The sequence below is a fragment of the Homo sapiens genome, chromosome 11 (assembly GCF_000001405.40).
Source record: "Homo sapiens chromosome 11, GRCh38.p14 Primary Assembly".
Lineage (NCBI taxonomy): Eukaryota > Metazoa > Chordata > Mammalia > Primates > Hominidae > Homo > Homo sapiens.
The window spans coordinates 119,859,178-119,871,712 of record NC_000011.10 but is presented as its reverse complement, the minus strand read 5'-3'; the positions used below and the strand labels follow the sequence as shown (position 1 = coordinate 119,871,712).

The 12,535-nt window shown below is 49.5% G+C and overlaps 1 long non-coding RNA gene across 2 annotated transcripts in view; it reads right to left on the bottom strand.

Moving 5' to 3' along the window:
• Positions 1–4,028: 4,028 nt before the first annotated feature.
• LOC124902771 (uncharacterized) overlaps positions 4,029–12,535 on the bottom strand; it is a 34,803-nt gene continuing 26,296 nt past the window's right edge. For both annotated transcript variants that reach the window (XR_007062920.1, XR_007062921.1), the window contains exon 2: positions 4,029–4,693. This is a non-coding gene — a long non-coding RNA (uncharacterized LOC124902771). The remainder of the gene's footprint in view (positions 4,694–12,535) is intronic.

Here is a 12,535-nt window from a genome sequence, read left to right as displayed (position 1 = left end):
AAGGGGGGCCATTCTGGGACTTTCAGCAGCGGGGGACATCTCCAGCCTCAATTCCTCCCCTGAGTATCCAAGTTCATCCCCATTTGAGTTTAAGGTCTCCAAAGCCTAACCTGTCCAAACTATACTCTCCCTGACCACTGGCCAAACCCTCCTCTGTCTTCTCTATGTAAGAAAGTGGCAACTCCACAGTTCCAGCTGTCCAGCCAAAGTCCTTGGAATCAGTCTTGACTCCTCTCTGTTTGCACTCCATATCCAATCTGTCACAAATTCCTCATCAACTCTCCTTCAAAACACATCTCTCAAATCTGACCTTTCTCACCACTCCACTGCTGTGGCCCAGGTCCAGCTGCCATCCTGTGTGACCTGAATTCTTGCACCTGCCTTCTAACTGATCTTCCTGCAGACTATTCTGCAGTAGCAGCCTGCGTGACCCATCTAAGATGAAGGTTGGATCCTGCCGGCCTCTGTTCCCCACCTTCAGATGGCTTCCACCTCACTCACCGTCAAAGCCAAAGTCCTCACAATGACCTACAAGGTCCTTTGCCCACTGCCCTCCCCACCACTTCTATACCCTCATTCTGTCCATCCTCCTCTCCAGCTATGCTGGCCCCTTTGCTCCTCAAACACAGAAAGCACACAGTTCCCTCCATCTGGAATGCTCTTCCCCCCACACCCCAGATACTCACAAGGCTCACTCTCTCACTTCCTTTGTCTTTGCTCAAATATCACCTTTGGAGAGACATCTTTTCCAAGCCCTTCCACAACAGCACTGCTTCATGGTCACCTCTTATTCCCTTATCCTTCTTTATTCTCCTTCTTAGAACTTACCATCACCTGACATAGAATTACTTGTTTACTTGCTTGCTGTCTGTTCTCCCCCACTCCTACCTCCCCAACTAGAAGGTAAATTCCATCAGGAAGAAAGAGTTTATTTGTATCATTCATTTCTATATCGCTAACACTTAGGACATAAGTGTTATGCTTGGAACCTAAGAGGCACCCAAGAAACATTCACTGAATGTATAAATGTTTGAATTTGAATTTGTAAAGGGGTCACTTTGGGAGGAAAAAGAAATGGAGAGGGACAGCCATGGGGACAGTGGGTGACCTGGGAACTTCATGTTGTCACTCGGGAAGGCAAAGTTGGAGGTGATGGAGAAAAAAATCAGATGGGGATGCAGAGTTGGTAGGACATGGAGGCTGACTGGGTGGGGGGAATGGGAACAGAAAGGAACCAGATGGCTCTCCAGGTCCTGACTCAATGGCCAAGTGGTTGTTAGTGCCTCTGATTGAGAAAGGAAATGCAGCAGGCCAAGCAGGTTTGGGAGAAGGTGAGGAGCTGGTTTTAGAAATGCCGAGGTTGAGACGACATGCACATCCAAGAGGAGGTGACCAGCAGGCAGCTGGATACACAGGTGTGGGTCTCAGCAGCACACCAGAAATGGAGATCTGCTGCGCGATAGTGTCATTTAAAGTAATGCGTGTGTAGTAAATCACCTGGGAAGATGGTGTAGAGTGAGAAAAGAAGAGGAAAAATGGTCAGAGCCCTGGGGAGTGTGGACATGTAAGAAAAGAGAATAAGAAATAATGACTAAGAAAAACTGGTGAGGGACGTTTAAAGAGAACCAAGAGACAAGGGTGTCATGGTAATAAAGGCAAGGATCCAGTTGTTCAGAAGGAGGGAGCAGTTAACAGTGTCAAATGCCAGGGGCAGTAACAGAAGGATAAGGGCTGAGGAGGGCCCATTTGGTGTGTAATATGGTGACCACCCATGGCCTTGGCTGGATGTGAGTCTGTCATGCAAGAGCAGAAACCAGGCTACGCTGGTTGAGGAGATATGGGAAACAGCAGAAAAGCAACAGCAAGTACGGACCACTCTTTCAAAAAACTTGGCTGAGCAAGGGAGGAAAATGAGAGGGCATTAACCAGAAAGGAATCCTAGTGGTCAAGAGTTTTGTTTCACCACATGGGATGACCTGAGCATCTTTATGGGCTCAGGGAAAGGGCCAGGGGAGGCCAGGGTGGGCTCTAGGTCTAGGCAGAGAGAGGATGGTTAAAGGAGTGTAGCCATTGGGGTGGAGCAGGAGGGAGATGCACGCTGCGGAGCAGGGATGTGTGTGGGGCAGAGAGAGGAGAGACCAGAGCTCACACTATGATTGCAGCCCAGTGATGCTCACCAGGGTGGGAAGACCAGGAGAGGGACACATGAAAATGCATGGGACACCTACAACTGAAGCATGTGAACTAGGGCCCAACAGCTGCTGCTGGGCAGAGTGACAGACACAGTGTGGAAGGGGATGACAGAGGGGTTCACACTGGCCAGACCAAGTGGGTTAGTAAAGGGAGGCTTTGTGGAGGAAGCAAATTGTAAGAAGAAGGTTGAAAAATACAGGGCTTGGGAAAGGACTTTCTGGTCTGGAAAAAGGGCTGGTTTGGAGCCGTCAAGGCAGGCAGAGGGGGAGGTACAGAGAGCCACATGTGATAAGTAAGACACACAGGCAGGTGCACACAGGGAGTCCAGGGTGGTGGTCAGAATGGGAACTATGAAGGCAGGACACTGAGTTCACACCTGGCTCAGTTACAGCTTGGCTGTGTGACTTTGGACAAGGTGTTTAATTTTTCAGTGCCTCAGTGTCCTCATCTGTAAAATGGAGACCATAACATGTAAAGTACTTGGTGCTATGATTTTTCAGGCATCTGTTCCACAACTCATAACTTAGGGCTCAGGTAGTCTTATGAGTTCACAGTCTATCTGTCATAATAGGCAGAGAGACGGACAGACAGCTAGAGATAGGTGTGCAAACAATGCTTCTCACCTTTACTTATTTCCTACTTTATCAGGAAACATAATTTGGCCACTTTTTCCTCGGAGGCAGGAAAACAGTGAAATTGCTCATTTCTAAATTCTCAGTCCTGAAATTGGGGCATCCAGGTGGCTGCTTGGCCTGTGGGTGGGGAGAGAATGGCAGGAAGTTGTTGACACCAAGTGTCTAAACTGTCACCTTCTGGTCAGGTCTTTGGCTCAAAGAAACACAGTCATGAAGGGCTTTACGATCCAATAGAAAAACAAGGGAATTTTGACCAGCTTCTCCTCCCCTCCCAACTGCCCTACATCCCACAGCAGACATGATAGTTTTCCTTTCAATATTCATTTTTCTCTTCTTCCAAAGCAATAGAAATTCCCTGGGCACATGGCCACCAGAGGAAGGCTGCACAGCCTCCTTTGCAACTAAGCACGGCTATGTGACCAAGTGCCAATGGTGTGCAAGCATAAGTATTGCGTCAGAACTGCCAACAGGCTCCCTTAAAATACGGCTGGTGCATGTGCCCTTTGCCTTTTCTTACTTGTCTCTTTCTCCATGAAGCCACCCAGGACATGGATATGATGGCAGCCGTCTTGAACCATGAAGACAGAGCTACACAATAGAGATGGCGGAACAGCCAGTGGGCAGGATCATGGCACCCTGACGTTCCCTGCTGCCTCCAGGTGTTCACTAGAGAGAAATCTCGACTCTCATCTATAGAAGCCCCTGTTGTGTTGGTCACTGGTAGCTGAAGCCAATCCTAACGGAAGCACAACACCCCAGGTGGCTCAAGCTCCGGGGCCACTTTCTGTAGCAACCTTGATGGTTCCTAATTCAAATGAGTAAACAGAAAGAGGATCTACAGCTTCTGACCCCCCTGCCTCCATCTGGCCAGAAACTTCGCTGGAATAATAATAGCAACCTGTATCGTGTTTTATTATTCACAATGCGCTTCCTCAAACATGAGCTCATTAGATTTTCCCAGAAACTCTGCAGGGTAGCCAAGACTGGTATTTCTATGTGCTCCATTTTCAAAGATAAGGAAACGTGGAGAAAGGAGTTTAAGTATTTTGCACGCATCACACAGTCAATAAGAAGTACAGTCAAGAAACCTGGATCTCCCTCCCCCAAGCTTAGAGCTTTTTTCAGAACACTCAGCTGCCAGTCTTCAGGTGGTTCTGGGCAGAAAGAACTAAGGGAAGAAGAATCCTGGGGCCAGAGGGGTATAGTGTGGGATAGTTTTAATTCCTTTAGAAACTATTTTATTATGAAAAACACACATAACATGAAATCTGCCCTCTTCACCAAAATTTTATGTGTACAATACATTATCATTAACACTAAGCACAATGATCTACGTCTCTGGAACTCTCTCATCTTGCATGACTGACTCTATGAACATCAATTCTCCTTGAATAGTAACTCTCCATTTCCCCCTCCTCCCAGGTCCTGGTAACCACCACTCCACATTCTGCTTCTGTGGGTTTAACTGCTTTAGATGCCTCATATAAGTGAGATCATGAAGTATTTGTCTTTCTGTTATTGGTTTGTTTCACTCAGCATAATGATCTCAAGGTTCATTTATTTTGTTGAATGTGAAAAGATTGCCTTCTTTTTTGTGGCTGAGTAATATTCCACTGCAATGTTATTCACAATAGCCAAGATGAGGAAGCAGTCTAAATGTCCACCTGCATGTGTGGATATAGAAAATGTGGTATATACACATAAGGAGGGGCTGTTTACCAAGCCCAGGTGGCACATCACACCTCAAGTTCCACCTGTAGGTTACCATAGGCCAGAGAGCACTTCCCAGGGTAGCTGGAGGAGACTTCATCCAGGCTTTCATCCAAGTGTTTGGCATTTGCAGCAAGGTACCTTGATAGATGTTGCTGGGGAAACAAGATGTTGAGTAGGTTATAGGATGAGTGTGAGAATATCATTTATAACATAAGGCAGAGAGCAACACATGCCACTGAAGAGGTGAAGATGAAGTCTAAAGCAATCCAATCCAGCCAGTAACTTTCATCTGCTCTCTGAACAAAAGGCTGGGTGTGAGGCACTAAGAACACAGGAGTGAAGAGGACAGCATGGTTCCTGCCTCTTGAGCTGTTCATCTGGTTCCATCACCCTCCCAAGAGCATGGATTCCAAAGGAGGCAGCTTTGAAGCCTGGGAAATACCTGGACATGTGAAGATAGGTCTGGGGTGGGAGATACAAAGAAAAGAATGTCTGTGCAGGGTTCAAAGACATATAAGGCAGGGCTTCCAAGTCAAGCATGAACCTAGCAATACAAAGTTGCCAATGCCCAGTGCCTAGGGCTATATTAGTGACAGTGCATGCCATTAGTTCCAGAAGTAGGGACTGGAGTGGTCAAGGAGGACTTCATGGAGGAGGTGAGACTTCAACTGGGACTTACAGAATGGGTAGGATTTTAGGCCGGGCGCGGTGGCTCACATCTGTAATCCCAGCACTTTGGGAGGCTGAGGTGGGTGGATCATGAGGTCAAGAGATTGAGACCATCCTGGCCCACATGGTGAAACCCCACCTCTACTAAAAATACAAAAAATTAGCTGGGCATGGTGGCACGTGCCTGTAGTCCCAGCTACTCGGCAGGCTGAGACAGGAGAATCGCTTGAACCCGGGAGGCGGAGGTTGCAGTGAGCTGAGATCGCACCACTGCACTCCAGCCTGATGACAGAGCGAGACTCCGTCTCAAAAAAAAAAAAAAAAAAAAAAAAACCAGAATGGGTAGAATTTTAATAGGTGGAGAGAGGACAGAGAGGAGGCTTCATGCATGTTATGAGTAACCATGTGCTGAAATGCACAAGGTGGGGTGGGTGAAGGAGGAATGATTCATTGGGCCTGAGCCAAGAGTTTGGGCTGAGGAGTAAATAACAGGGACAGTGTCCCTGGCAGGGTTAGTTTGGAATTGAACACCAGGCCAGGAAACTTGGATTTAGGTGCAGGAGTGATGTGATCAGGCTTCAGGGAGGCCTCTGGCAGGGTGTGCAGGGAGGACTGAAGGGAGAAGCAGGAGGTGACAGACTAGGAGGCTGGGTGTGTGGGCAGGGTACTTAAGTGGCAGGCAGCAGGGCTGGGTATGAGAGCCAGCAGAAGGAGGAACTCATAGGCCTCAGGGTGTCGCCATCAGAGAGGATGCAGTCCCTGGTCAGCCAGCTTCCAGGGGAGGGCCCAGCCTCTGTGGAACAAAATTGTCCAAAGCATGGCTGTCGGCCTGTGGCAGCTCCCACCCAACGAGAAGCAGGTATTGCTCAAGCACACTGTGTTCTCCATATGACTCCTGTGTGACGGCTCCCCAGGGGGCAGACTCTTAAAGGGGCTCCCGCAGGAGAGGCTGAGGCCATCTGGGGTTGTGGCCAGCCCACCTGAGGCCACAGAGACCACCAAGGCCATGAGAGATCAGGAAGAAGGGGAGGGGTTCCCTTGAGCAGGACAGGGAGAGACATCAGCCTCCTCTCTCCAAGCGACAGTCACTCAGTTGCTCCTGCCCAGCGGCCTGACTCCTGTCTCCACCCTGGGGTCAGCTCCAAAAAGTCCAAGTTCTAGCGCAAGAAGGTGAGATGCAAATAGCCCAAGAGGCAGAGCCACTGCCAAGCACAGTGGCCCATTCATTCATCTCTGCCAGGAGTTGGTATGGAGAGCCCTAAGGAGAGGCTCTCCCAGTGATTGATGGTGTTTCCAGAGGTTATTAACTGAGTTGGACTTGGTCTCTTTGGGCTGATCTATGATCCAGGGACAGTTTTAAAGTATGTGGCTTTTGGGTGCTGGATTATCGAAAAGAGTTAAAATTGAAGTAGTCATTCAAAGCACTGCCATCTGTCACAAGCTGCCGGCCGGGGCTCCTCCGGGCAGGATGGGAGGGTGGGCGCTGTGCCCTTGTCCCTTTTCCAACGCATCCTCCCTGGTGCCCCTGGGCCATGTGCAGTTGATGGTCCACCCGAAGCAGGAAGGGGCCATGAGAACCAGGCAGGGGAGAAGGAGCAGGTATCTCCAGCCCAGTTTTTCAGGGGGCAGGTCCTCTTCTTAGGCTCACAAACATTTTCCTCCTGGCAGGTAAAATAATATCAGTAACAGTACTACTGGTTGACATTTACTGAGAACCTATTATGTGTTGAGTACCAGTCCAGGCGCTTTACCTGCATGAGAGCATTTACTCCTAACTGATAATGCAGTGAAGTAGACACGATTATGATCTTTTGAGAGAGGGGGAAGCCGAGGCATGAGGGTATGGAAAAGGAACTTGGCCAAGGTCATGGGGGATGATGCAGCCAGGATTTGAAGACAGAAGTCTGGTTCCAGAGCCTGGACCCTAAGCCACGTGCTTCATCTCAGGCCTGTGCACAGGCTTGCCCCTCCCCGGGGAGCTTGAGCCCTCCCCTTCTCACCTGGCTCTTCTATGACATGCTCCACTTCCTCAGAGCAAGGTCCCTGCCACATTTGTATTTATTGCTCCGTGCATTTGTTTAACACCTGCCTTTCCGTCTGGACTGTAAACTCCGAAGGTCAGTAAGAGCTGGTGGGTGGGGCTCCTGGGGGAGGTGGTGGTGTTAGGTGCTGAGCAGGGCTGAAAGTGGCTCCCTTGCTTATCCTGCTCTCTTCCGCCCACAGGTGCTGAGCAGGAGCAGCTGCTGCCTTATGGCCTCTAAAGATTCCCTGGGCCTGGGGTGGTCTGTGGGAGAGGCTGCAGTTCCCCATTCTCATCAATGCCCCTCCTTCATCCTCAGACACGAAGCAACTCCCGGACCTCTCCAGCTCTCCCTCCACGCTCAGCCCTCAGTGATCCTCCCCTCCCAGGCCCTCCATCAGAAGCATGAAATATTAATCGGGGATTAGCCGCAGGCTGCTCATCCTCCCGCCAGGAGTGCAGCCCAGAAACTGTGATGAGGGCAGGAGGAAGGCAGGGGGCCTGGCGGGGGTGCAGCCCAGGCTGGGCGCTGGCCACCATCAAATCATGCAGATTAAAGGACGTGCAGGCTGGAAGGGGCCTCCAGAGGCCGTTTTCATCCCTGCTCCTGGCTTGCAGCAGGAAACGACTGCACAGATTCCGAACACAGGCTGTGTCCAGGGATAGGGATGGGGGCTGCTTTTGCCCCTGCGTAATCTCCACCAGTCGCCACATCAAAGTAATAATATATATTTTCTGGTGTAGGCAATTGACATTTTTCAATCTTATGAAAAGCATGTGAATAAGAGCGTTTCTTAGAAAACAATCTATTTTTGTCAGTTTATAACAAACAGTCTCTGCAAAAACCGTGTGTGTTGCCCATGCACGATGCATATGACACATACGCAGCTTCCAGACAGACAAGGGGCCCAGCCCTCCCCACCCCCACCCTGGGAGCTCCTGCCCTTTGGGCACCCCCAAAGCCTCTCCAGTGGAAACACAGGAGCCAAGGCCTCAGCTCCTCTCCTCTAGGAAAAAGGGCAGATCAGAGAGTGGCTCCTGCAGCCACATTGTGACCTGCCGCACCCTTGAGCTATGCTGGAGGGCTGCCCCAGAGCTCCGCGGCCTGCCTGCATTACAACACGAAAACCTCTTTGGAAATGGTTTATTACCCCTCTCCCCCACGCTGGCTGTAATCTTTGCAAGGGCAAGTGTCCTGGCCCCATTCACCTGGTGTTCGGTCCATGGGAAGGGCTGAATGAGTGTTTGGTGAATGTCCATCCTCCTCATCCTGCTTCTCATTTGCTCCAAGGTCTCTCTGAGTTCTTGGTCTCTCTGAGTTCTCCTCCTCGCTCCCTCTCTTCCTCCCACTCCGTCTCACCTCTCTGGTCTCTGCCTCTCCCTGTCTTGCTCCCTGTCTTTTTCCTACCTTATCTATTCCCATTCTCTCTCTTACCTCCCACTCCAGGTCCCTCCTCCCATCTCTCTGATTTGGTCCAGAAATGACTATTTGGCCAAGATGATGAACTGGTCATAAAGAAAACATGAGCTGTTGGTTGGAAACGTTCATTTACAACTAATTTTCAAAATAAAAAAAATTATAAAAACACTGCCAAGAAAGCTGAGCCGAGCAGGTTGAAAACAAATTAGAAATGTTTAAAAAGAAGGGAGGAGGACCCCAATTTGAAAAATTCCAGAATTTTTTTATACTTTTGTCTTTGGGTTGCGCTTTTTTTTTTTTTTTTTTTTTTTTGGAGATAGAGTCTCACTCTGTGGCCCAGGCTGGAGTGCAGTGGTGCGATCTTGGCTCACTGCAAGCTCTGCCTCCTGGGTTCAGGCCGTTATCCTGCCTCAGCCTCCCGAGTAGCTGGGACTACAGGTGCCCACCACCACGTCCAGCTAATTTTTTTGTATTTTTAGTACAGATGGGGTTTCACCGTGTTGGCCAGGATGGTCTCGATCTCCTGACCTCGTGATCTGCCCGTCTCGGCCTCCCAAAGTGCTGGGATTACAGGCGTGAACCACCACGCCCGGCTGTGCTGCTTTTAACTTATAAAATGCACATTATAGAAAATACAGACAAGCACAAAGAACATAAAGAAGTGTAAGCCCCCATTCAGACACAGCCACTGAGAACACCTGGGCACCTGCACCTCTGCATTCTTCCCAGCATGTGTGTGTTACCACTTCCCAAAGAAGGTTCTAGAACTTCAGTCCCTTGAGCTATAAAACAACAACACAAACAGCAGCAACACACCTGGTCAAATTTCAAAAAGTACTGTACATTCTACCCTCTTCTTGGAGCTTTGTAGTATTCATTGTAATGAATATTTATTGTAATATTCATTGTAAATGCATGTAAAGCTCTATAGAGAGCCTCAGTTAGGAAACCCATTTAAACTTTGCCATTCCCTAAACTCTATGAATCCAGAAGCTGTTTTTTCACCAGGTAGCTATTAATGTCCATACTCATGTCTCCAAAAAAAAAATCTTGCCAAATAATGAGAAATAAATATGTATCTACAGATTTAGTTTACAAAAATAGAATCTTATTATACATTCTGTTTTGTAAGACTATGTATGTTTCCTACTAATCCCTGTTATTGGATATTTAGGTTATTTCCCACTTTTTATTATCATTTATATTATCCTAAACAGTACAGAGTGGGAATAAGAGGTTGAGTGTGAATTAGAAATCAAAAACACAAAAGGAGATAAATTCTGAAAAGTAAACATATCTAAAAACAGATAAAGATTGCAAAACCCTCCTTGTGGTACACAAAAATTCCCAACCCAGGTGCAAATGAATGTTTAACAAATATGTATTGAGCACCTACTATGTACCAGATACCATTGGAGGTTTGGGAGTACGGTAAGACAGACAGAAATCCCTGTCCCCATGACCATTACAGGCAGGTGTCAGGACACAGCAATGACTGATTAAACGGGAGGGAGATGCACGGCAGAGGGGGAGTGGAGGGATGGCCAGGTCAGGGGCAATTTTAAATGGTCTTTCCAGAGACCACCGGGCTGCAAGTGTAAAATCCCAGCAAAGGACTTGTGGGAGGTGAGGGAGCAAGCCATGTAGACATCTCAGGAGGAGCAGTCCAGACAGGGGGCAGGCAAGTGCAAGGGCCCTGGGTGCCAGCAAGTCTGGTCCTGCCCCTCCAAACACTCGTTAGGCCCAGGGCCTCCTGGGGCCCAGGATGGGGAGGGTGTGTCTGGATTTGCCATCTCAGGGCAGTCATGGGTTGGAGACTGGGCTTCAGCATCCTTATTACGTGGACATAAAGGGGCACAGCCATTGCACCCTAAACTGTTAAGGGGACAGACATGGTTATGTTTGACAAATTCATTATTTTAATGAGATTTATGTTAGTATCAACATGCTGTCAACTAAACTACCCCCCATTCTTTCCCAGTCCATCACTCCAAAGGCCAAGGATGCTGGCTCCATGCTGATGGGCTGTTTTAAAAGCCCTTAACCCCCCTGAAAGCTCCTCTGGCAAGTCCATGGCTTTGCTGCCTCCCCCTGCTCTGGCTAGGCTGCCCCTGCCAGTTTCACCAGCTCTGGGCCCAGATCAGGAAATAAGAAGGGCGCTGGCCATGGCTTGCAGGATATGCCAGGGTCTAGAAGTGGGGCATGGCTTGCAGGATATGCCAGGGTCTAGAAGCTCTGCCAGGCAAATCACCCCAGATAGCCATGGCTTTTCTGCAAGGTGTGTGCAAACCACATATGGGAGGAGGCAGGGCAGATCTAGACATGCAGAAACCACAGAAGGAAAACAGGGAGACAGGGGCAAAACGTGGAAGAAAGACACAGCGGACAATGACAGGGAAACAGAGAAAGATTGACCAAAAGGAAGGAGGAACCAGAACACAAGGAGAAAGACCAAGACAAGGATGGATGAAGGGACTTGCGTGGCCTCGTGGGAGGGACACAAAGGTGGGACACAGGTGGAAAGACAGAGACAGAGATGGGTTGGGGACTCAGGGCTCATTGAGTTTGCTTCCAGCTGGCCCTTACTCTCATGGGCACATAGAGCCCCACAGCCTCCTTTCAGGGAATGGGAACTACCCAGGAGAGGGGAGACCTGGAGCACGGAGGGGAAGCTGGCCTGCCACCCCGAGCCTATGCGGAGAAGCTATATGCTGGGTGTTGGAGACCTGGAGAACTTGGAATATGACCAGGCTAGCTCAGAAGAGCCTTCCACAGACATTTTTGAGAATGAGACATCTGAAGAATTTAGGGGGTCACCCTTAGGCAAGGACAACATGATGAGGTGAAGTGTCCAGCTTTGGAGCCAAACTGCCTGGGTTCACATCCTAGTTCTACCATTTCAAAGCTGTGTGACCTTGGTCCAGTTCCACCACCTCTCTGAATCTGTTTCCTCCTCTTTAAAATGGACAGAACATTATTTGTGTGGCTCAAATAAGATAAAGCATATAAAGCATTGCACCCAGTGACAGGCACGCAGTAAGTGTACCATGGTCACCATTGGCTGGTAGCATTATTGCTCCCTGGCCTCCCTGCCTGGGAGAGCCATGACTGAACAGAGAAGTCCTTGCCTGAGGACCTCGTCCTCTCCCAGTGTGAGTGTACCAGGAAGGGCCTGGATGCTTTCCCAGCTCACATCTTGCTCACACTCCAGATTGGCCCTGACAGGTACACGCTTTAAACACTGCCACCAAGTGCAGCTTCTAGGTTCCTCCCAGCAAGCCATATCAGGTGCCACCTCCTGGGGACAGGAAGCATGGGGGAACAGGGTTCCAGCCAGAGTTGCCTCCTGGATCCCTTCGTCTTTAGTGTGCACAAACCCCTACCCACAGCTGCCCTGCTCCCAGTTCTGCAAGCACTCAGCCAGCCAGCCTCAGCACCCCAGGGTGGTGCCTCAAGTCCCTGTACCTGCTTGGGTCATGGCCTCTGCAGCCTTCTTCTTCCCAAGGCTGGGACCTCTCAGTCTCCCCTCCTCTCCCATCTGAAGGCTCTGTCCTATGCCCAGGTCTAGTTTTAGGGATGGGAGATCTTAGCTGTTCTGCCCTGATGTTCTGGCTTACCCCATCATGGTCCCCAGTGCTGGTCTGGGGAGTCCTGGGACTGATAACATAGTGTCTGCATTACTGCTGGTGTGCAAGACCCTGTCTTGCTAACCTTCCCAAAACCCTGGTCTTCTAAGGCCTGGGCCTCTGCCCTGCTAGTCTCAGATCCCCTCTCCAGGGAGGTCTGAGAATCTTGCCATTAGTACCAGACCCCCCACCTCTGAGGCTGCCTGATGTCCCCTCTATCATTCTACCCACCTGTCAGGATACCTGCTACTACATCTTG